Consider the following 19,437-nt stretch of genomic DNA (forward strand, 5'->3'; position numbering starts at 1 on the left):
TGGCTCCGGAATACGACATCCTTTCGTCTGAAGTCACATACAACGGGAACTTTTAAAGCAGTGAGCATCTTAAAGTCCATCAGTGCACAAGTCAGTAAAAACTCTTTATTCATTCCTTCATGTGACAGTTGGCCTTGAGTAGTTACAAAGACAGAGCAGTTCCTGCCTCTCAGAATTCTAAGCAGACATTCCAGAGCTCACAGATCAGTGTCCCACCAGCTGCTACCCTGGAAGCTTCAGGGAGATGGGGAGCCTGGAGTAGGGGGGTGCTGCAGGAACCCCCGGCAGGCAGTGGGGCCAGGCTTCACAGGCACCCAGGGCTGAGTGCGAGATGGCAGGGGGCAAGCAGGCAAGCAGTGGGATGGTCTTGAGGTGTGGGGTGAGGGCAGGAAGCCCACGGTATTCCTGACTTGGAGTCGAGGGAGACAGAACGGAGGGGCCCGAGCTGAAGACAGAGTCTGAGGGAACTGGAGAGGCTAGAAGCCAGCACTCAGCTTCCCAGGAGACCCCAACTATTGCCGGGCCAAGTGTCCAGGGAGAACGTCGGGTATCCAAATGTTTCAGTGGAAGATTCCTTTTCCAAACATGAGCTGGTTCTTTGGGTTTTTAATTATAAACATAATACATGGTCAAGGTTAAAAACATTTTCCAAGCACCACATAAGGATATGAAATAAAAATTCTATCCCCCTCTAGACCTTCCAGACTGGGTCCAGAAGGAGCTGCTGTCAGTGATTTTCCTTACAGAGAGACCATTGCAGCCACCTACAGTGCACCATGGCCCCGACACAGTGTGGCATCTCCCCCCACACGCACCTGCACGCAGCCTCTTAGGAGCTGCCCTGCTGAAGGAGGTCATCCCTCTCAGTCACATCTGAGCAGCACTCACTCAGGCCTGGGCCCTGAGGGGCATGTGGGGGGACCTGGCCGGGTTCCTGGCTGTGTCTTGTCTGGCATCTGCCTTTGGACTACCCTCTTGCTACAGCTCCCTGGGCCTGTGGCTGCTCCAAGCTGGACTCCAGCTCCCCTGGGCTGCAGTGCTGCTCCCAGTGGTCCAGAAACAAGGCCAGGCATGGCGGCTCCCAGCTCAGCAGCATCCCTGGCGCAGGCTGGCCCAGGAGCTCTGTGCAGGGTGCCGCCCGATGACCTAGCCCCAGTTGCACTCACGTCCGAGAACCGGGCTGGCTGGGGGTCCTCTTTGATGGAGCTTTCCTTTTCTCCAAGTCTTGCCGAATTTCCTGAGGAAAAGCATTGATGTTCTCCCGGACACAAGGGAGGCAGAATCTCTTGGAGTAGAATAAACTGCATTCCTTAAAGAAGTGGACAAGGATGGAGGCTTGAGTATCCTGGGAACATGGTGCAGCTCCTCCCAGGGGCCAGCCCTTCCCACACTTGGGGGGCTGGGCTGGGGCCCCAGCATGCACAGTGTGGGCAGGTGGCCAGAGCTAGACCAGCAAGAGGGAGAGCCAGGCCTGAGGGCCTGGCAGGGTGTCCAGGAGAAAAGCAATGCAGGCCTGGGCTACCCTGGGTGGGAACAGCTGGGATGGGACAGAAAGACTCTGGGGCCTGCTCTGCTCCATCACGGGGCAGTGACAACAATGGAAAGCTGGAGCACAGGCCATGCCCCGAAAATCCCAGAGTCCTCCCGTCCCAGCTATCGCAGCACGAACAGTGGCCACCTGGTGCTGGGAGCGGCAGGGGACAGGAAGGACAGCCCCACAGACCAAAGACGCCATGGACGAGCCAGCTAGTCTGGGCAGGAGGCCAGAACCGTGCAGCCATGTCCGCTCTCCTCTCTCTTACACACTAGAACTCCCGAGATTCATCACGGTGCACAGCACGTGGCTAAGGATGACATTCCCCAGCCCCCTCTGTAACTGGGCATCGCCATGTGACTCAGGCTGGTTAGGGGCGTCAGCAACTGTGTGTGCCACCTCCTGGTCATGCCCTTTGAAGGCATGGACTGTGCTCTCACGTCCCTTCCCGCTGCCTGGGATGCAAATATGATGGTGGGAGCTCCACAGCCACAAGGGACCCAAATAGAGACTCTGCTGAAGACAACAGGGGTGCCCTTCCAGCCAAGGCCACCAGTTCTGGACTCTTACATAGGAGAAAGTAAGTAAATAACTATTTGCTTTACTTAGGCCACTCTTATTTTTGGTGTCTGTCTGTTCTTAAAGCTTAGTGTGCTCGCAAACATAAGGCTGCCCTCCTGCAGTTCTTAGAAAAGACCCTTCGCCATGGAGATCCGCTCACTAACAACCTACTGTTTAAACAAAGAAAGCTGCAGACTTGTGGTACCTGCGTGCGCCCCCCACCCCCGCCACCCCGCTGCTCACGAAGAGCAGCCCAAGGCCAAGGTGTTGCATTCAAGACCTCCACCTCCCCACCTGGCCCACCCACCTTTGCAGTCTTCCTTTCCCAGCTTCTCCTGGACCACCAGCTCCTCCATGAGCCTCAGATACTCCCATGCCACACTGCGGAGGCTCCTCCCACCCTGGCCCATCTCGTCCCCCTGGCTATTGATACAGCTCCCCTTTGTGTGTGTCAACCTGTGGCAGATGCTCAGGGACTTCTCAGACTCTGGGGTCACTCTGAGTACACTGGGCACGCTGTGAAAGCCATGCTGCTCCACTTCCATCCGTCCTTGGGTTTACAGCTACCCAGGTGAACCTGGCCCACCCAGCCTCTCTGAAGCTCAGTTCCCTCATCTATAAAATGGGTGGAATATAATACTGCTTTACCTGACTAAGGGGCAGGACTGAATGAAGCCTCAGCAGTAAAACAGGTCCCAAGCACAGGACCTGGCACACAACAAGTGCTCATGAAAGGACAGTCCCTTCTCCTGGAGATCCCTCCAAGAACATCTAGAAAGTAAGTCACCATCCTGGTGAGAGGGCGCACAAGGACTGTCTGCACTGTTGGTGGGAAGGGGAGGAACCCTGAGGGGCCACTGGGGTGGGTGCAGAGCCACCAATTACCTATTTCCATTCCTACACCAGGCTGAGACCCTCTAACTGACCCTAGCTTGCCCTCTCACCTCTCCCCTTCATCAGCTGAGGGGCCCCATCTATAATGGGGTGAACCCGCTGCTCCCTCTCTCCCAGCCCTCCCTACCCAGGGAGAGCTCCAGGATAACCACAGCAAGGACAGGTGGCCCCAGCCCACGCTGCTTACCCACCGGGCCCACACACACCAGCCTGCTGCACAAACTGCAGCACGAGCCGAGGACCAGGAATCTGTCCTTGTCGGAGGTGAAGGGATCCTTCATGACATAGCTTTCCTCCAGGAGGCTGCAGGAGAGTGAATGCAGCGTCAGAACAGCCCAAATCTCTGCCGTCGGAAAATCAGCCATGACCTATGGCCAGGCAGCAGCAGCCTGCACCTCTGCAGGGCCTGCATACCTGCGTGGGCTCATCAGGGCAGGGGACTAGGCCACCCGTGCTGCAGGGCAGTGACAGAAAGGATCAGCAATTGGGGGCCACACTGGCACTGAAATTGAACCTGCTCTCACCTCTGTAACAGCCATGGTAGAGAGAACCCCTTGTTCTCAGCCAAAAGCAGGGCTGCTGCAACATGGGCCCCCAGACCCTGACTGATTCACCACAGTGGGGGCACAAGGCTGCCACCTGAATACCCCAGGCCTCCCTACACCCCAAGCCACACCCTCACAGCCCCTGGAAGCCAGCTGGCCTCATGCTACACATCAGAATGAGACCCCAGGGTGACATGATGACACTCAGGCTCCTGGTCAGCAGAGGGACGACAGCCAGAAGGAAAAAGCCATGCCCCTGCCACTGCATCCCATGTGAGTAACACACCGGCCAGCTTTCCAACAAAGTGGCATTTGATGAAGGACAAGCTGGAGGTCAAGAGATAAGCCCCCTGACCCACTGGCTCTAATCCAGGTCTGCAGGGGAGACAGGCCTCCCATTAAGAAAGTGTCATGGCAAGGGTGCAGCCCCAAAGGGGGAGGCCACCACAGGTCCCCCAGCTGCTGAGCTGCTCCCCCACAGCTAGAGCAGGTATTGGACTCTGGGCTAGGTGTGGAGGAAGGTTCTGGAAGAGTCAGACCTCAAGCCTTGCCCAGGCCTCCAGAGATTACACCAGAAGCATTCAGAGCCTGGCCAGGGTGGGGTCTAAAGCTCCACACCTGAGACAGTTGTCAGACCTAGGCACACCACCCACCAACCAGCACTGGGCACAGGCCTCCCCGGCACTGGCCCAAAAGGCATGCACTCACACCATCGACTGGGTGTTGGGGGGCTTCTGTCCCACATAGCTGTACGGAGCTGTCAAGGTACAGAGTTCACACTCAAACACTCCCAGAGGACGGCACTCTACATGGGACGCCATCTGCAAGATCAAGAGATGGGGTGTCCCTGGGTCACAGGCTTTCTCAGGAATCCTGCCCCTTTCCCAGCTATGAAGACCCTAACCATATAGTCCTAGCACAGTTTCTTGCCTCCCTACCGTACCCTTTTCTCTATCCCCAGCTGAAACAGGTTTTCACCGGTGCCCAGAGTGACAGGATTTGCTGTCCATATTCCAATGGTTTAAGGTTTTTGTACTGCTAGAGAGAAGGATCCAGACAGGATCAAGCCAGAGCACCCATCTCTTCTTCCAGGTCTGCACCACGGTAAAAGCGTTCCGGTCTCCTGCTCTGCCCCATTCTTTACCACAAGCCCCCAGTGAACGCTGGTGGAGAAGGGCCCAGAGTGGGTGCAAAATCTCCTGTTTCTGCTGCTCCTAGAAGCTCTATGCCCTCACATTAGTCCACACGTGGTGTGGACATTAGAACTGTTTTCTTGGCCAGGCGCAGTGGCTCATGCCTGTAATCCCAGCACTTTGGGAGGCCAAGGCAGGCGGATCACGAGGTCAGGAGATCGAGACCATCTAGCTAACATGGTGAAACCCCGCCTCTACTAAAAATACAAAAAATTAGCCAGGCGTGGTGGCGGGCGCCTATAGTCTCAGCTACATGGGAGTCTGAGGCAGGAGAATGGCGTGAACCCAGGAGACGGAGCTTGCAGTGAGCCGAGATCGCGTCACTGCACTCCAGCCTGGGAGACAGCGAGACTCCATCTCAAAAAACAAACAAACAAAAAAACTGTTTTCTTATCTGCTTGTATGGAACCCCCTTCTCATGTTCATGGTTGGGTCTTGGAGGCCTCTCTTTCCTTAGATTTCTGGCTAAATGGCTGCCATCTGATGGGTTCATCAAAAGTTACAATTTTGCTGATTACCCAGCTCCTTCTTTGACTATGGAATCAAGTACGACATTATCAGCTGGCCCCTAGCTCTTGGCTGTGACCTCCCCTCGCCTGAACTGAGCGTGGTGTATAAAGGCGTATCAAATGCGATGGCTTTCCCCACTGGGTGTCCCCAGATGCAACTCCAGGAAGCATGGGTTACCAGTGACTTTAAAAGTTAAGTCTGGCCCGGTGTGGTTGCTCATACCTGTAATCCCAGCACTCTGGTAGCCAGAGGCGGGCGGATTACCTGAGGTCAGGAGTTCAAGACCAACCTAGCCAACATGGCGAAACCCCATCTCTACTAAAAGTACAAAAATTAGCCGAGCATAGTGGCGGGTGCCTGTAATCCCAGCTACTTAGGAAGCTGAGGCAGGGGAATCACTTGAACCTAGGAGGCGGAGATTGCAGTGAGCCGAGATTGTGCCACTGTACTCCAGCCTGGGCGACAGGGCGAGACTCCTTCTCAAAAAAATAAAAATTAAAATTAAATAAAATAAAATATTAGCCGGGCGTGGGGGCGGGCGCCTCTAATCTCATCTACTCAGGAGACTGAGGTAGGAGAATCGCTTGAGCGGGGGGTTGGGGAGCGGGGGCTGGGGGGGCGGAGGTTGCGGTGAGCCGAGATCGCGCCACTGCATTCCAGCCTGGGCGACAGAGCGAGACTCTGTCTCAAAACAAAAGTTACGATCGATCGCGGGTGTGCGTGAACCTGATCCCGCTTCTCTTCTGCACGCCGGGGCGTCCTAGGCCCCTGCCGAGGCTCCTGGGGGCGGTGCCTGTGAACAGGGACGGCTGAGAGGGTCCGGGGATGCTGGTGGTCCCCGCGAGCCTCCGCCTGCCCTCTCTCGCCCCAGCGCTGCCCGAGGTCAGGGGGGACAGTCCCGTGAGGCCCACACCCCGCTTCTCGGTCCCGTCCCCAAAGCTGAGAGCGGCTGCGCCGACTCCTGGCGCTTGGAACCCAGCAGGCCACGCCGGCGCGGAACTCAGTCCCGGCGAGCGGGAGGCACCCTGAGGCAGCGCAGGGAAGGGCCACAGCACGCTCGCCCCAGTCACTCTGCCACCTCGAACTCACCGCCGCCCTCGTCCCACGGCTCCGCGTCCAAGGCGCCTGAGCGGCCCCGCCCCACCGCGGCCCGGCCAACCCCGGTGCAGCCGCAGACGCAGGCGCGGAGCGGGAGGCGGGACCTCGCGGTGGTTTTCCGCCTCTGCCTTGCTTTTCCGGTCGCCGCGGTCCTCTGCGCGGGATGTGGCTCTGAGCTTCGGGGTAGTCCGCGAGGCTGGGTTCCGTGCTGAGGGGCGTCGCGTCTGGCCGTGCGCTGCGGGAGCGCGCGGGCCTGGCCCGCTGTCCTGGCCGCTGCGAGGCGCTCAGCTTCTTTCTGAGTGTTCCGCCGGGTTCGACAGGGTCGAGGTCGCCGGCGCGAGGCTCCCGGATAGCTGAGGGGCGCGAGGGCGCCTCCAGTCTCCCACCTGCCCTCCCGCGCCGCGGACTAGGCTGCCAGTCTACCCCACCGGGACGTCTGCCCCCGCATGCAGGAGGGGGTGTGTCGGCCCAACGGGGTCTCAGGACCTGTCCCTGCTCCTCCAAAGCCCACGTCGCCTGCGGCGCCCCTCGGGTCTGCGCCGCGTTCTCCTTTAGCCTCCCGGGCCTCTCCGCTGCCCCTCGCCCCCAGGCACCAGCCACACCTGCTTCCTTCTGTTCCCGCCCGTGGCCTCTGACACGCCGTGCCCTGGACCCGAAATGCCCGCCCCACTCCTGGAGCCTCCGGTGTGTGAGAGGCACCTTTCCTTGGGGTCAGGGGCCCGGACTCTGAAGCCGGCCTGGCTTTGCCTGTGGGCCCCGATCCTCCCAGCTCGAGTCCCTCGCCCCAGCCGCCGCGGGCCTTCACCTGTGCTTTGGGGACGACAGGATGGCCACCCTCCTTCCCCCAAAGATTTGAGGGTTTTGCTCCACGCGGGAGAAGGTCTGCCTGTGCCACCAGCCGGCAGCCTTTCACATGCTGTTGCGTTACGGGGCCCTCTGTGACCTTTCCCTAGGCCGAGGGGTGCTTCGTCTCTGTTCCTGAGAGACCAGAATTTATTCTTGGTTTGTCAAGCCACATCTGTAGGAATGTTGCCCAGTTGCAGCAGGCTGGGGTCTGGGACTTGCTCCTTTGGCGAATTGAGAAGTAAGGATATAGAAGGCATTTTAGCACTAATGGAAACCAGAACCACTCTTAGACCTGGGCAAGAGGGGCCCCAGAAATTAGCAAGCGATTAGCAAGCAGCTGGATTTCGATGACCTCCACTGTACTTAGAGCAACGGCATTCGATTCGTTGGATCATTTCAAAGATGACATACTGGGTTGTTTGTTTGTTTCTGGCGGTGTCTAAAGATGGAACATCTTGAAGCATTTTGAATTTGACCTGTGGCTACCCTCAGATACAATGATGGTAACCCCATGAGTGCTGTTAAAGCAATTTGACTTATTGTAGACAGGTTAACACATGAGATGCGTTAAAAGAGTTAAGTGAAATAATAGGCAGCATTCAAAGAGCAAATCGTGGTCTTTGGCAGAAAATAGAGTTAATTTTGTATTTGAGCTGTCCAGTTATTACAATTAGAAAACGTTTTAAAGAATCCAAAAGGATTTAAAATATTGCATAAAGTTTTAGGAGAAAATGGTTTCCAAAAAGCAACTGCATATGAAATAAGCACTAAAATGACATTAAAGTACAATGTAAGAAAATCGGAACTAGAAGCATTTGCTGGAGTCTGAAGAAAAAGATTTATGGATGAATGATTCTGAAACTAACTTCTATAGAGACAATTTTCCGGCGATGGTAGATCAAGGTGTAGATTGTACTGAAGAGAGAGATTCAAACAAAGTGAGTAATCTACCGCAGTTTTCAGTTTTCTTGGTAATACCCCAACAACGTAAAAGAAAAACGTAAGAAATCCTGTATGGATCTAAATGTAAGAAACGATGATAATGGTGAAATAATAACATTATTTTATATAATGAAAATATTGTGTAATATTTTCTGCAATCATAATTTTTCATATGCACCCTTTCTACACTGTTTAAACATGATATCAACAGTCATGATTCAGTTCTACATATAACGCTTTAAGAATTTATTCATAATTCGTTACCACTCAGCAGAGTCAAGTTTCTCCCAATTGAAATAACTAAAAACTATCTGAAAGTATACTGACTCAGGAAAGTTTGTCTAATTTGGCACTACTGTCAAAAGAATGCAATTGCGTGAAAATCTTCATTAGTCATTCTTCTGAAATGAAGACAAGAGAAACATTTATAGAAGAAATAACATAATTTATGGATTATGTGATTATGTATGTCTTTATTACCCATCCAAGCATTAGTGGCCCATCAACATAATACCTAGAGATACACAATAAAAATTAGCTATCTTTAATATTTTGCCAATTTTCAGCTATATTAAAACCATAGTTTTACACATAATTTTGAATTCTGTTTTATGAAGGTGTATTTGTCCAGGTAAGTGGATATAAATATTTTATGTAACAGTTCGTAAGCTTTTAAATATTTAGACATACAGAGATTTGTAGTCCTGCCCTAGGCCCCACAGATGCTAGGGGTGGGCTTGCTGGGAAAAATGCATATATGTTGTGGCAATACTTATAAAATGTTGTATGGATGTAATCTTAAAAGATTATCACAATATCAGATATTGTACATTGTGTATTTAGGTGAAGACTGTGAAAGAAAATCTGAAAATCAGAAGGAATTGAATGCAGATGAAAATCTAGAGCTAAAATATTGCTAATAGCAGCAAAAGGGGGTACTGTGGAAGAATAACTTCTTATGTACCCCACTTCACTGAATATCCTATTCGCCCCGTTCTCCATTTCTGCCAGTAACATGGAAGTCTAAAGGCTTGCATTTTGTTTCTAGTGCTAACTAATGAAATTCCAGAAGCAGGCCTTAAAAATGCAAAGTCTTCATAATTAACAATAAGTGTTGAGATAGTTGAAGGGCATATATCCCCTTCTCTGTACCTACAGCAATTGAACTTTCTCTGCATATAAAACTTGTTTTTATTAAATATTAAATACTACTCTTGAGTATTTAATAAGGGGCTAAATTGAGAACAAAACCAGGAATATCCATCTTCTTGTTCTGTGCAACAGAGACAGTGGGAGGGTATTCGTGACTATAGCCAATTATTCTGGAATAGTCCTACCCTATCCCTGGAAGTATAATGAGAACAAGAGTCTTAAAAGACTCCTTTAGGCTGGGCGCGGTGGCTCATGCCTGTAATCCCAGCACTTTGGGAGGCCGAGGCGGGTGGATCACTTGAGGCCAGGAGTTTGAGACCAGTCTGGCCAACATGGTGAAACCCCATCTCTACTAAAAAAATAGAAAAATTAGCTGGGCGTTGGTGGGAGTGTGCCTGTAGTCCTACCTACTCGGGAGGCTGAGGCACCAGAATTGCTTAGTCCCACCTACCTGGGAGGCTGAGGCACCAGAGTTGCTTGAACCCCGTGGGCAGAGGTTGCAGTGAGCTCAGATCTTCCAGCCTGGGCAACAGAGCAATACTCCATCTCAAAAAAAAAAAAAGACTCCTTTAGAAATTGTTGCTATGGGCCGGGCGCAGTGGCTCACGCTGTAATCCCAGCACTGGGAGGCCAAGGTAAGTGGATCACCTGAGGTCAAGATTTTGAGACCAGCCGGGCCAACATGGTGAAACCCCATCTCTGCTAAAAAAAAAAAAAATGCAAAAAATAGCCGAGCGTGGTGGTGCACACTTGTAGTCTCAGCTACTTGGGAAGCTGAGGCAGGAGAATTGCTTGAACCCAGGAGGCGGAGGTTGTAGTGAGCTGAGATCAAGCCACTGCACTCCAGCCTGGGTGACAGCGAGACTCCATCTCAAAAAAAAAAAAAAGAAAGAAAAAAAAAGAAAAAAGGACACCTCCAACCCAACACACACACAAATTGTTGCTCTGTCCTGTGAAAATGGCCTTCAAAAGAAACCTGAATTTTTGTTACTTGACACCTTGTCCTCCTGATAATGGTATAATTGGCATCTCTTTGTTTCTAAACTGTATAAATACCTGTCATCACTCTAACAGATTAGAAGAAAACCCCTCGTACTCTCTTTCCCAACATGCCTGGAAAAACTCCTGTGACTGCTGGATTTCTCACTTTCACCAAGAAATTGAGATTCTTGTCTCATTTGGCAGGCCCCACAGCAGCTGTCCCTGGTCGTCACTCAAACCACCTCCAGTGGTTGTTCCTGGGCCTCCAATGACTCCCTACCGCCTCTGCCCACGTGGCCCCTGTGGTTACAACTGTGGCCCTCCCTGACTCATTTGTAATTCATTCTCCCACTGCACAGCTCAGGCTGTGTTGGTGGGAAACCCTTCTCCACCCCTGGTGCTTTCTTCCTGGGAAGGGTGGCCAACTAGCCTATCCTGACCCCGCTTAACCCCTGGGAAGGGTCAGGGACTTCAGTGGATTACCAAACTGGAGGAGAAGGCCTGGGAATGCCCACCCACAGACAGCATGTGTCTGCCTCGCCCTCCTGCCAGCAGCCTCTGCTGCCTTGAAGGGCAGGCCTCTGCAACTTGCCTGCAACTGGGTCTCGAACTCCCTCATTCTGCAGTTCAGTGGGCAAGTGCATTTGACCCAACTGCAACCAGCCTCTATCAGTAAAAAGTAATCATTTGGACACCTGCTGACCCTTTTTTTCAATCCGTTCAGAAGTCAGGTGGTTAAGAGAGGTGCTATCTCAAGAACATGCGCCCCAGTCGGAACCAGTGGGCCAGTGTGGGCCAGGCCACTCCCATGGCCTTCCCACCAAGGGAGTTAGAAAATCCCCATCTGACTTTTTTTGTTGTTTGTTTTGAGATAGAGTCACGCTCTGTTGCCCAGGCTGGAGTGCAGTGGTGAGATCTCAGCTCACTGCAACTTCTGCCTCCTGGGTTCAAGTGATTCTCCTGCCTCAGCCCCTTGAGTACCTGGACTACAGGTACCCACCACCATGCCTGGCTAATATTTGTATTTTTAGTAGATACGGGGTTTCACCATGTTGGCCAGGCTGGTCTCGAACTCCTGACCTCAAGTGATCCGCCCACCTCGGCCTCCCAAATTGCTGGGATTACAGGCGTGAGCCACTGCGCCCAGCCCCCATGTGACCTTCTGACCCTTGCTAACTGTGTGCAGCCTTGGGTGAATCATGAGACCTTTTCATCTTCCCACCTGGCAACAGGTGAGACAGAACTACATTCTGCCCAGGTCTAGGCATCCCGTTGAAGGAAACGATGGAAGGAATCGACGTGTGTCTGCAGGGGCCTAGTGTGCTATGGCCATTTCAGTGCAGCTGAGGATGATGGACACCGAGGTGTGTATAAAGCAGCCACCCATCTCATTTGGTTGTCCCCCTTTTCTGGGACTCCACTTTGAGGGCAGCAGCTATGTGTGTATATGCCCCTCACACAGAAATCACTGCAAGGCTCAAAGAAGAAATCTCACATTTAATTCTGATAAAGCTTAAAGTGGCATCTACATAAATGAACATGCTTCTGAGTGAAAATAGTACAGCTACCAGCCCTTGTTTCTCTTAAGTGATAAACCACATTTTCCTTATTCCTGAATAGTCCAGCACGCTATTAATAACCAAATGCCCAAATCTTAGATGCATATGTTGCTATATTCAGCATATAGACATATTTCAATGTGAACCCATATGTACCTTTTTGTTGTTTAACAAAACATGTCTCTTGGTCAGAAAATGTTACTGAATTTTACTTTAACTACCAGTAGCTTTAAGAATAAATGAGAAGCACCACATCTGCATTCTCAAGCATGAAGCAAGTCCTGGAACTCCCCACGAGGCCCTAAGCCCAGGGGGAACAAGAGGAGGGGAGCCCTGGTCTACAAAGGGGCCTCCCAGTGAGGCCGAGGAGTTTGGGGCTCTGTCAGGAGCAACAGGCCATTAGCTTCCAGCATGGGTCAAGCGCAGAAACACCCAGACAATGCTCCACCCTGGCCAGGTCCCTCTCTCAAATCTGGTTCTCAAAACCAGTGGCTCTGCCTTCTCTAAACTGCAGGCACCAAAGAAACAGGGTTGCCCTTGTACGGGGAGTCACATAACTCCCCTCTAAAGGGAAATCAGTCCAGGAATCCCACACTGTGATCCTGCTGTCTCCCCAGATGCTACACTACACTCCCAACTTTTACACTCCCAAGAGCAGAGGACAAGATTGGGGATTCTTCCAAATGTAGGGGATGTGCCTTGTGAAGGACATGAGTAGAAAGCATGACTAGGCCACTGACACTCCCTAATCCCCTTAATCCCACAGACTCAGCAGTTGGGGGAACGCTTGCTTGTGACTCATGAAACCATCATTCATCAAACAACAAGGTAAACCATTTTCTTCCCGTTGATGTTTCTGGTCTTCAGCCCCAGATAACGGTGGCTGTTCTTCTCTGGCTGCCCATACAGCATGTCAATAAAGAACTCAGGCTCATCTTTGGCCTTAGATTGCGAGGTCAGAAAGCTGAACATGGTTCTCAGCTTACGGCACAAATAGGTCATTGCTTCCACTTCATCCGATGGCTCCTCATACACGGGCTGCTTCATTTCCTCATATGCAGACAGAATTACAGCCTGAAATAAGTTGATCAAGACGCAGATCATCACCAGCATGAAAGATGAGAGGAACAGGACCCCCAGAATCCTGTTATTGGAAAATTCAGTGTTCTGGAAAGCTGAGACACAATAGGAAAATACTGTCTGAGTGGAATGAATCAAGTTACTGTAGTTCCATTCATGCTGACCAAACACCAGGTAACCAAAAGCCATGTATACGAAGAAATACACGGACACAACAAATGCCATGTGGCAGATGCCAGGGAGGGCAGCCTGGATGGCCCTCTGAGCCAGGCGCACATCGTAGAAGAATCTGGAATACCTGAGGGTCTTCAAAATTGTCAGAAATAACAGGAAACCCAAAATTATCCTCATAATGTGATCTACCTGAGAAACTGCATGAAAGGGAATGAAGTCTTCTGGGTTCGACAAGTAAAACCGAATTATGCCAGTGGCCAGGAAATGTTTCCTGAGAAAGAGCACAATCAACACAGTAAATATGCACTTTAAAGCAAAGTTGAGCAAATTATACACACTTCTCACATAGGAGGCTCTTTCTTGCATAATGATACAACCCTCATCAACAACGTAGGCTAAGAAAAAAATGAGAATGGCCACATACAAGTAGATTTCTGCTGAAGCTTTTCTGTCAAAATCAGCAAGTGAAAAAGAGTGCAGAGATATGCTTGTGTTGACAACTCCTAACTGAGAGACTTCAAATATGACCGAAATGCTACAGAACAGATTTATATCTGGATTAAAAGTTGTTAATTCCAAAACCACAGCCCATGTCTTCTCATCCAGCCAATTGCTTTCTTGAAGTTCTTTGAGCCTCAGTGTGGAATTAAACCGCTGCTGTTCTGGAAAAAAATAGAGTGCATATCCTCCAGATCCATAGGTGTGTAGTAGTCCATAGGAATAATATAGCCATTGCGTTCCTTGAGGCTTATAAGTAAATCCATTGGTACTCTCATCTATAGCCTGCTTATCAACTTCATTCCAAAAGCCAGAATAGTTTTTTGTGTCTTCTGGGTCAATGCCATATTTGGGGTGACAATGAATTTCTCTTCTGATGCTGTTTTGCACAAACTTTTCGGCAGGTAGACACATTTTTTCACTAGATTTTGCTCTCACTTGCCTCATCAATGGAAGGCCAAGGATTTTAGACGAGCTTTCAGGAAGAAATGTTGGATTCAGGTCATTGTGTAACAAAGGCAACAGCACGCTGTTTAGCCATCTATAGATGTCTTCCAGCTTAGTCACAGTAGCAAGATCCATAGAGAACCGATCACGAATAAACTGGTTATAGTAAAAGCAGTCAGTGTGACGTAGTAAGACGATAAGGATCAACAGAAGGGCTAGAAAGATAAAGTGAGTTAGAATGTAACTCAGAAACAGGAGTGCTCTTCTCTTGATCCTCTTCTTTCTTTTGAATATTCTGATTTCATCTTCTGTAAGGGGTTGGTACATCCTCGTGCCTCGGATTCGGACGATCTGGTCATGTATCCTCTGCATTTCTTCTGGATGCATACGCATTCCATCCAACCTGATCTCAGTATATTTATACTTGGTTGACCATGAAAGGTTTTTGCAATACTTGGGTTTATTCGTTCTGAAGCCTGACAGGAGTATAATTTTAGATGGCTGCACCAGAAGAACTGACTGACAGAATGAACAAAAAGATGCAAAGAGCCATTCTATTGACTTGTCATAGCCGTAAGTCAGTCCATAAAATACAATGAAGAATGAGGATATGCTAGAAGTAGCAAAAACCAAAAACCATGCAACATAAACACACCACCAAGGTAGGACGATCCGGGGCTTTTTCTTAAGCTGCTGGAGATCCTTTTGGGAAGGGTGCTGTTCGGAATGGACATCCTGATCATCTTCTATGTTGTTATTGGAATTTGTATTTGGCCCGAGGGTCTCCGGGGTCTTGATTTGTGCTTTCCTATGCCTGTGCTTGGGTTTGGAGGTTGCCTTAGGAGAAGCCTTTGGAAGCCTGGGCTTTCCTTTAGATGCAGGTTTTGCAACCTCCCTGGGGTGCACCTTAGCAGTTTCGTAAGCATGCCACTTTCTCAAGTATTCTTCCCAGTGCTCACTTGCTTCTGACATTAGAGGATGCTTTTGAGGAGATACCTCCTTTAGATCCGCTTGAGGTTTCCTCTGGGAACAGGTGAACAAAAAAGTTATTAATAATTGCACAGGGATTGTAATTAAGACACTTTCAATTCCTATCATCATTGATCTCATGTATTTCCTCTCTCTTGACTCAGTTTGTTCTTGTCTATTTAGATTAAAGAACATAATGTTACAAAGAAGAGAGCTAAGCAACATTGCTAAACAACAGGACAATCTCTGGAGCCTATTGAATGTTTTAGCAACAACACTAGCAAAAATAGAGAACCACATGTGGTTTTTCCGGAGATTACTACTCACATCTATAAAGAAAAAGTCTTTTCTAGTCAGACGCTCATCTGGATGGGTAACGTGAAATGTTCTGTCCAAAGTGGTATCAACAGAAAGCCATTTCTGGCATATGAACAGCCAAATGTGCCTGCTAAACAGATTTTCCACTTTGATTCTACTTAAATACCAGCTAGGCGATCGACCCTCGTTGTTGTGCCACACACGGATGGAATGGATGTCCCCCAAGTCACTTTTTGTCGTTAGGAGGAAAGTGTTGATGCTACCTCGGTAGAGAGTTGTGAAATGTGGATGGCTTAAACAATGCACGTCGCTGGTACTCACAGTTCCTCTAAGTTGCACAAAGACATTGGCCCTGGTCCCAGACCCCCAACGACTTCCTGTAAAAATAGTCACCAAGTAGCATAAATTATCATAAGGATCATTATCTGGTAGAACTATCACATGCCCCCGAAGATGCTGGTCCATTTCATCCCTGTATAAAGCCCAAAAAGCTAGGCCCACGTATAAGAGAATAATGAAAAGCACAGTGAAGAGGGTCACGGGGTTTTGGTGAAGGCTCTTGATGATGTTTAACCGTAGATCCACAGGATTAGGGATCACAATCACCTTGGCCATCACATAGTGGGTATGCAGGTGAATGCCCGTGAGTCCGATTGTGCCCAGCTGCCGCCTAGCCCTTACTACATTCTTGCAGATGCAGTGCACCTCATACCAGCTGGTCTTCTCACCAAGAATGCAATAACCCTCTCTCCATTCACTCTGGATCCCATACATGTCCAAGCACTGGACGCTGAAAATAGAAATTCTCACTAGCTTGTCATTGAGCTTCATGACAAAACGAGGTGCCTGCAGAACTATGGATACAGTACAGTGGGGAGAGTGGCTGTGCTGAGCTATGAGTTGCAGCAGGGACACAGGGAGGCAGACTACACGGGCCTTCTTCACTGTGCAGGCTGGGTCAAACAGGGCACTCTGGCTGGCAAATGGAGGGATGTCATGAGGCACCAGGAAGGTGGCGACCAGCGCTGTGGGAGTGATCTGACTGCCTGTGTACACCAACACTGTGAACAGCACCATCACTTCTGTTACTATGTGGACCAGAACCTCCCTAAGCACTGTGCTGTCCACTTGAAAGCTAAACCCACCTGTCGTCTTCTTCAAGGACCCATCAACCTCGCTGTTGGGTCCCACTGTGAGATTAAAAGCTGCAAAGGTCAAGTTTTTCCTGACAAGGTACACTTCCGCTACATCAGGTGTGATCTCTAGCACACTACCGTTATCTGCAACTCCTGTCATTCTGAATCCAGACACCTCCACCGAAGTGTTTTCCTGATCATTTAACCAAGGAAAGAGGTCATTTGTGAAATCACAAAACATTGTAGAAATGGGACCATTTGCAGACAGACCAGGAACACTGCTCACATTGAGTGTTGGATAAAAACAATTTCTGCAGTGTTTCTCATTTCTGAAGAGCTGGTTGATACCCCACTTTTCAACTTTCTTGACATACATGTTGAAATTGGGGGTTCTCATTGAGGTGGTTTTGTTCCCTGGCACTTTATTAGCCAGTATTGTGTCTGATAGAGATTCTATTACATAGAAAGGATCTTTAACTACTTGGTGAGGAGAAGTCATTTTAAGAATATTAGACAAACTCATTAGTATTCCAGTACTCACGATTTCTATTTGTTCAGATCGAAAGCGTTTATCTTTTTGCTGATACTCTTGTAGGGCTTGATTTGCTTGCCATACCCTCATGGTGGCACGTTTCTGAGCATCCCAAGTGAATTCAGAGGGTTTCTGGGTTAATTTGGTAATAGTCATGACTACCTGGCCAATTTCTACCAAAGTGCTTACAGGAAGAAGGAAAGACTGATCGATGAGGTGTTTTCGGAGATTGACTCTGTCATCTCGGAGAGGTAATTCAGTTTTCATGTTATTCAAAACGGAAGCTACTATATACAGTAAGTAACCTGCAGGTAAAAAATCCTTCTTTTGAATCAAAGTAGACAGCAATGAACTTGGTCCCACGGTGAAACTGAGTAACTGATTCAACACTGTCTTTGATGAATTTTTGTCAGTGGGAGCCTGTGCGGTGGCATGCAAAGTCACCTGAGAAAAAGCTCCTAGAGAATCATAGACCTGGGCATATATCTTCAAGCCATATTGACTAGCCAACATACCAACAGGGAGAAAGGAAGGGGGTACTGTGGACTGAGGCCCCAAGTACAGGATGGTCCCCAGGGTGTTCTCTTTTACTGAACTGATTTCACCAACACTGTGCAAATCAGAAACAATTATTTTATATGTAAGAGGGACGTGCTTATCCCTAAAATTACTACACTGGACAACAAATTTAGTAATAAGTGCAATTCCTTTAGCTGGATTAATTTTGCATTCTCCGATCTGAGGGCCATGGTTAATAATAAAAGAATGCCTGAAGACCGAGGTCACTCCACTCCAACATGCTAGATACAGAGAAATCGAAAACTCAGCTTCCAAAAAATGCCGAAAAGCAAAAGCTTTTATAGACAGATAAGCACCATTCCTTCCTGTTACAGTTTCCCCCATCCAATCAAATAGCATCTCACCACCTGAAGAAGACAAAATTGACCATTTATAGAAATCACGGCTTGCACAATTTGTGCAATTTAGGAACAAAGAAAATCTATCAGAGACAATGAAGTTTCTCTCACAATTTTCGATACATGTGATGTGTGCTATGGCTTTTGGTCCTTGGAGCACGTGGACCCTCTTATCAGAAAACGCTGTCCTAGAGTCCTTCCGAATCACCATTCTGAAGAAATACACGTGGTCGCCTTTAAGTGTTTCTGGCAAAAGTGTCAGTACAGGGCCCGAGGCCCAGGGCCATTTCAGATTGGCCTGCTCGGGGTGACAGACTTCCTTGCTCCCCAGGATTATTCGATCCCCACCGTAGTTTCTGGGATCTGTGGTACAGTACCAAAAGAACTGGAGTCCCTGTAACGGGCTGTCCGCATCTGGGTCCGAGGACGTGGACCCGTCCAGAATCAGCTGCTCTGTGAAATTAGCTGTTATGTTGGCATCGCCAAGCATCACCGCCTGCAGGGAACTCCTGACGATCCAGACATAGACGGCGTCCGAGTCTTTCACCTCGGGCATCTTGGGGTTCCCTGTGGTGATGGACACCGTGAAATTAAACACATACACTCCCCACTGTAACGAATTATTGGGGATGTGAATGAACAAGGGGCTGTTCCTGATCTCGAGCTGGGGCAGATCCAAGGGCTGCGTCCAGTCGGGCGCCTGACCCACGGCGGGCACGGAGAACACCTGCCAGTACTGGGCGATGGCGCGCGCGGCCGGGCAGTCCAGCTGCACCGAGGCGTTGATGGTGGCCTCCGCCTGCATGCTCAGGCGCACGGGGGCGCCCTTCTGGTCCGTGTTGATCCTCACGCGCTGGATGACGCAGGCGTTTATCTGACAGGACACGGACGACTCGACGGCTCTGTGGCTGGACGAGTTGACGGCCTGCAACATCACGCGCGCGGGGCCGTCTGTGGGGCACTCGGTGCGGGCCACGAAGCCCTGCTGGGGCCGCGGGCCTGGCGCGGCGGAGCGCGGGGAGACGCGGGCCGCGGGGGAGGCCGGGCGGGCGGCGCCGGGTCCGAGCAGCCGCAGGCGGAAGGCCCAGGCCAGGCGCCCGGGCGAGCGCGGCAGCCGCACGGACCACGTCAGGGAGAGGCGGCCGCCGCGCGCGGAGAGCTGCAGGTCGACGAGCGCGAGCGCGGGCGCGGCCGGCCAGGGCAGGCGTTGGGCGCTGAGCAGGACGCGCAAGTCGAGGCAGTACCAGCGCCGCCCGGTCCCGCCATGGGGGAAGCAGAGGCTGCCGCGGCCGCTCAGGACAGCGCCGCCCGCCCGCACCGCGCTGGGCCGCAGACTGAGGAGGGCGCGGCCGCCGCGCACCCCGAGGCCCGGGGCGCCCCTGAGGAGGCCACCGGGCGCCCCGGAGACGGCGGCTTGTGCCCCGCGAGGAACCGGCGGCAGCGGGAGGCGGCCGACGCTCAGGCTCAGGCCCACGCCCAGAAGGAGGAGAGCGGGCCCAGGCCTCATGGCGCCGGCCCAGGAGAAGCTGGGAGAGGCCGCGAGGCGCGCCC

The 19,437-nt window shown here is 50.8% G+C and overlaps 2 protein-coding genes across 5 annotated transcripts, besides 4 other annotated features; both read right to left on the reverse strand.

Moving 5' to 3' along the window:
* On the reverse strand, positions 84-6,364 carry CDPF1 (cysteine rich DPF motif domain containing 1). Of its 4 annotated transcripts, none has more exons than NM_207327.5 (4): positions 6,327-6,364; positions 4,243-4,355; positions 3,181-3,292; positions 84-1,309 (listed from the first exon to the last, which is right to left on the reverse strand). In NM_207327.5, the coding sequence occupies exons 2-4, from the start codon at positions 4,353-4,355 to the stop codon at positions 1,163-1,165; spliced, it is 372 nt and encodes a 123-aa protein (NP_997210.3). In that variant the 5' UTR covers positions 6,327-6,364; the 3' UTR covers positions 84-1,162. The 4 variants fall into 4 exon arrangements, with proteins under 4 accessions (NP_997210.3, XP_011528262.1, XP_011528267.1 ...); XM_011529960.3 differs by having other exon boundaries at positions 3,177-3,292; XM_011529965.3 differs by having other exon boundaries at positions 5,964-6,364.
* Positions 5,943-6,112: a silencer, noted in NCBI's record as "silent region_13905". NCBI's record gives its function as "represses an Ori minimal core promoter by ATAC-STARR-seq in GM12878 lymphoblastoid cells {active_cell/tissue: GM12878}" and the evidence as "EXISTENCE:reporter gene assay evidence [ECO:0000049][PMID:35858748]".
* Positions 6,147-6,654: an enhancer, noted in NCBI's record as "H3K27ac-H3K4me1 hESC enhancer chr22:46645973-46646480 (GRCh37/hg19 assembly coordinates)". NCBI's record gives its function as "activates a minimal SCP1, AML or CMV promoter by ChIP-STARR-seq in naive H9 embryonic stem cells {active_cell/tissue: H9 hESC(naive)}" and the evidence as "EXISTENCE:reporter gene assay evidence [ECO:0000049][PMID:30033119]".
* Positions 6,223-6,552: a silencer, noted in NCBI's record as "silent region_13906". NCBI's record gives its function as "represses an Ori minimal core promoter by ATAC-STARR-seq in GM12878 lymphoblastoid cells {active_cell/tissue: GM12878}" and the evidence as "EXISTENCE:reporter gene assay evidence [ECO:0000049][PMID:35858748]".
* Positions 10,452-10,531: an enhancer, noted in NCBI's record as "active region_19233". NCBI's record gives its function as "activates an Ori minimal core promoter by ATAC-STARR-seq in GM12878 lymphoblastoid cells {active_cell/tissue: GM12878}" and the evidence as "EXISTENCE:reporter gene assay evidence [ECO:0000049][PMID:35858748]".
* PKDREJ (polycystin family receptor for egg jelly) lies at positions 11,734-19,414 on the reverse strand. Its single transcript, NM_006071.2, has one exon. The coding sequence runs from the start codon at positions 19,391-19,393 to the stop codon at positions 12,632-12,634; it is 6,762 nt and encodes a 2,253-aa protein (NP_006062.1). The 5' UTR covers positions 19,394-19,414; the 3' UTR covers positions 11,734-12,631.
* Positions 19,415-19,437: the final 23 nt, after the last annotated feature.

This window comes from Homo sapiens, chromosome 22 (assembly GCF_000001405.40).
Source record: "Homo sapiens chromosome 22, GRCh38.p14 Primary Assembly".
In the NCBI taxonomy this organism is placed as follows: domain Eukaryota; kingdom Metazoa; phylum Chordata; class Mammalia; order Primates; family Hominidae; genus Homo; species Homo sapiens.

Coding starts and splice junctions, on each gene's coding strand:
- PKDREJ (NM_006071.2), bottom strand. CDS start 19,393: ATGAGGCCTGGGCCCGCTCTCCTCCTTCTGGGCGTGGGCCTGAGCCTG.
- CDPF1 (XM_011529960.3), bottom strand. CDS start 4,355: ATGGCGTCCCATGTAGAGTGCCGTCCTCTGGGAGTGTTTGAGTGTGAA. Junction 3,293..4,242: donor CCCAACACCCAGTCGATGGT/GTGAGTGCATGC, acceptor ACTCTCCTGCAG/CCTCCTGGAGGAAAGCTATG. Junction 1,310..3,176: donor GGTGTGTGTGGGCCCGGTGG/GTAAGCAGCGTG, acceptor CACTTCTTTAAG/GAATGCAGTTTATTCTACTC.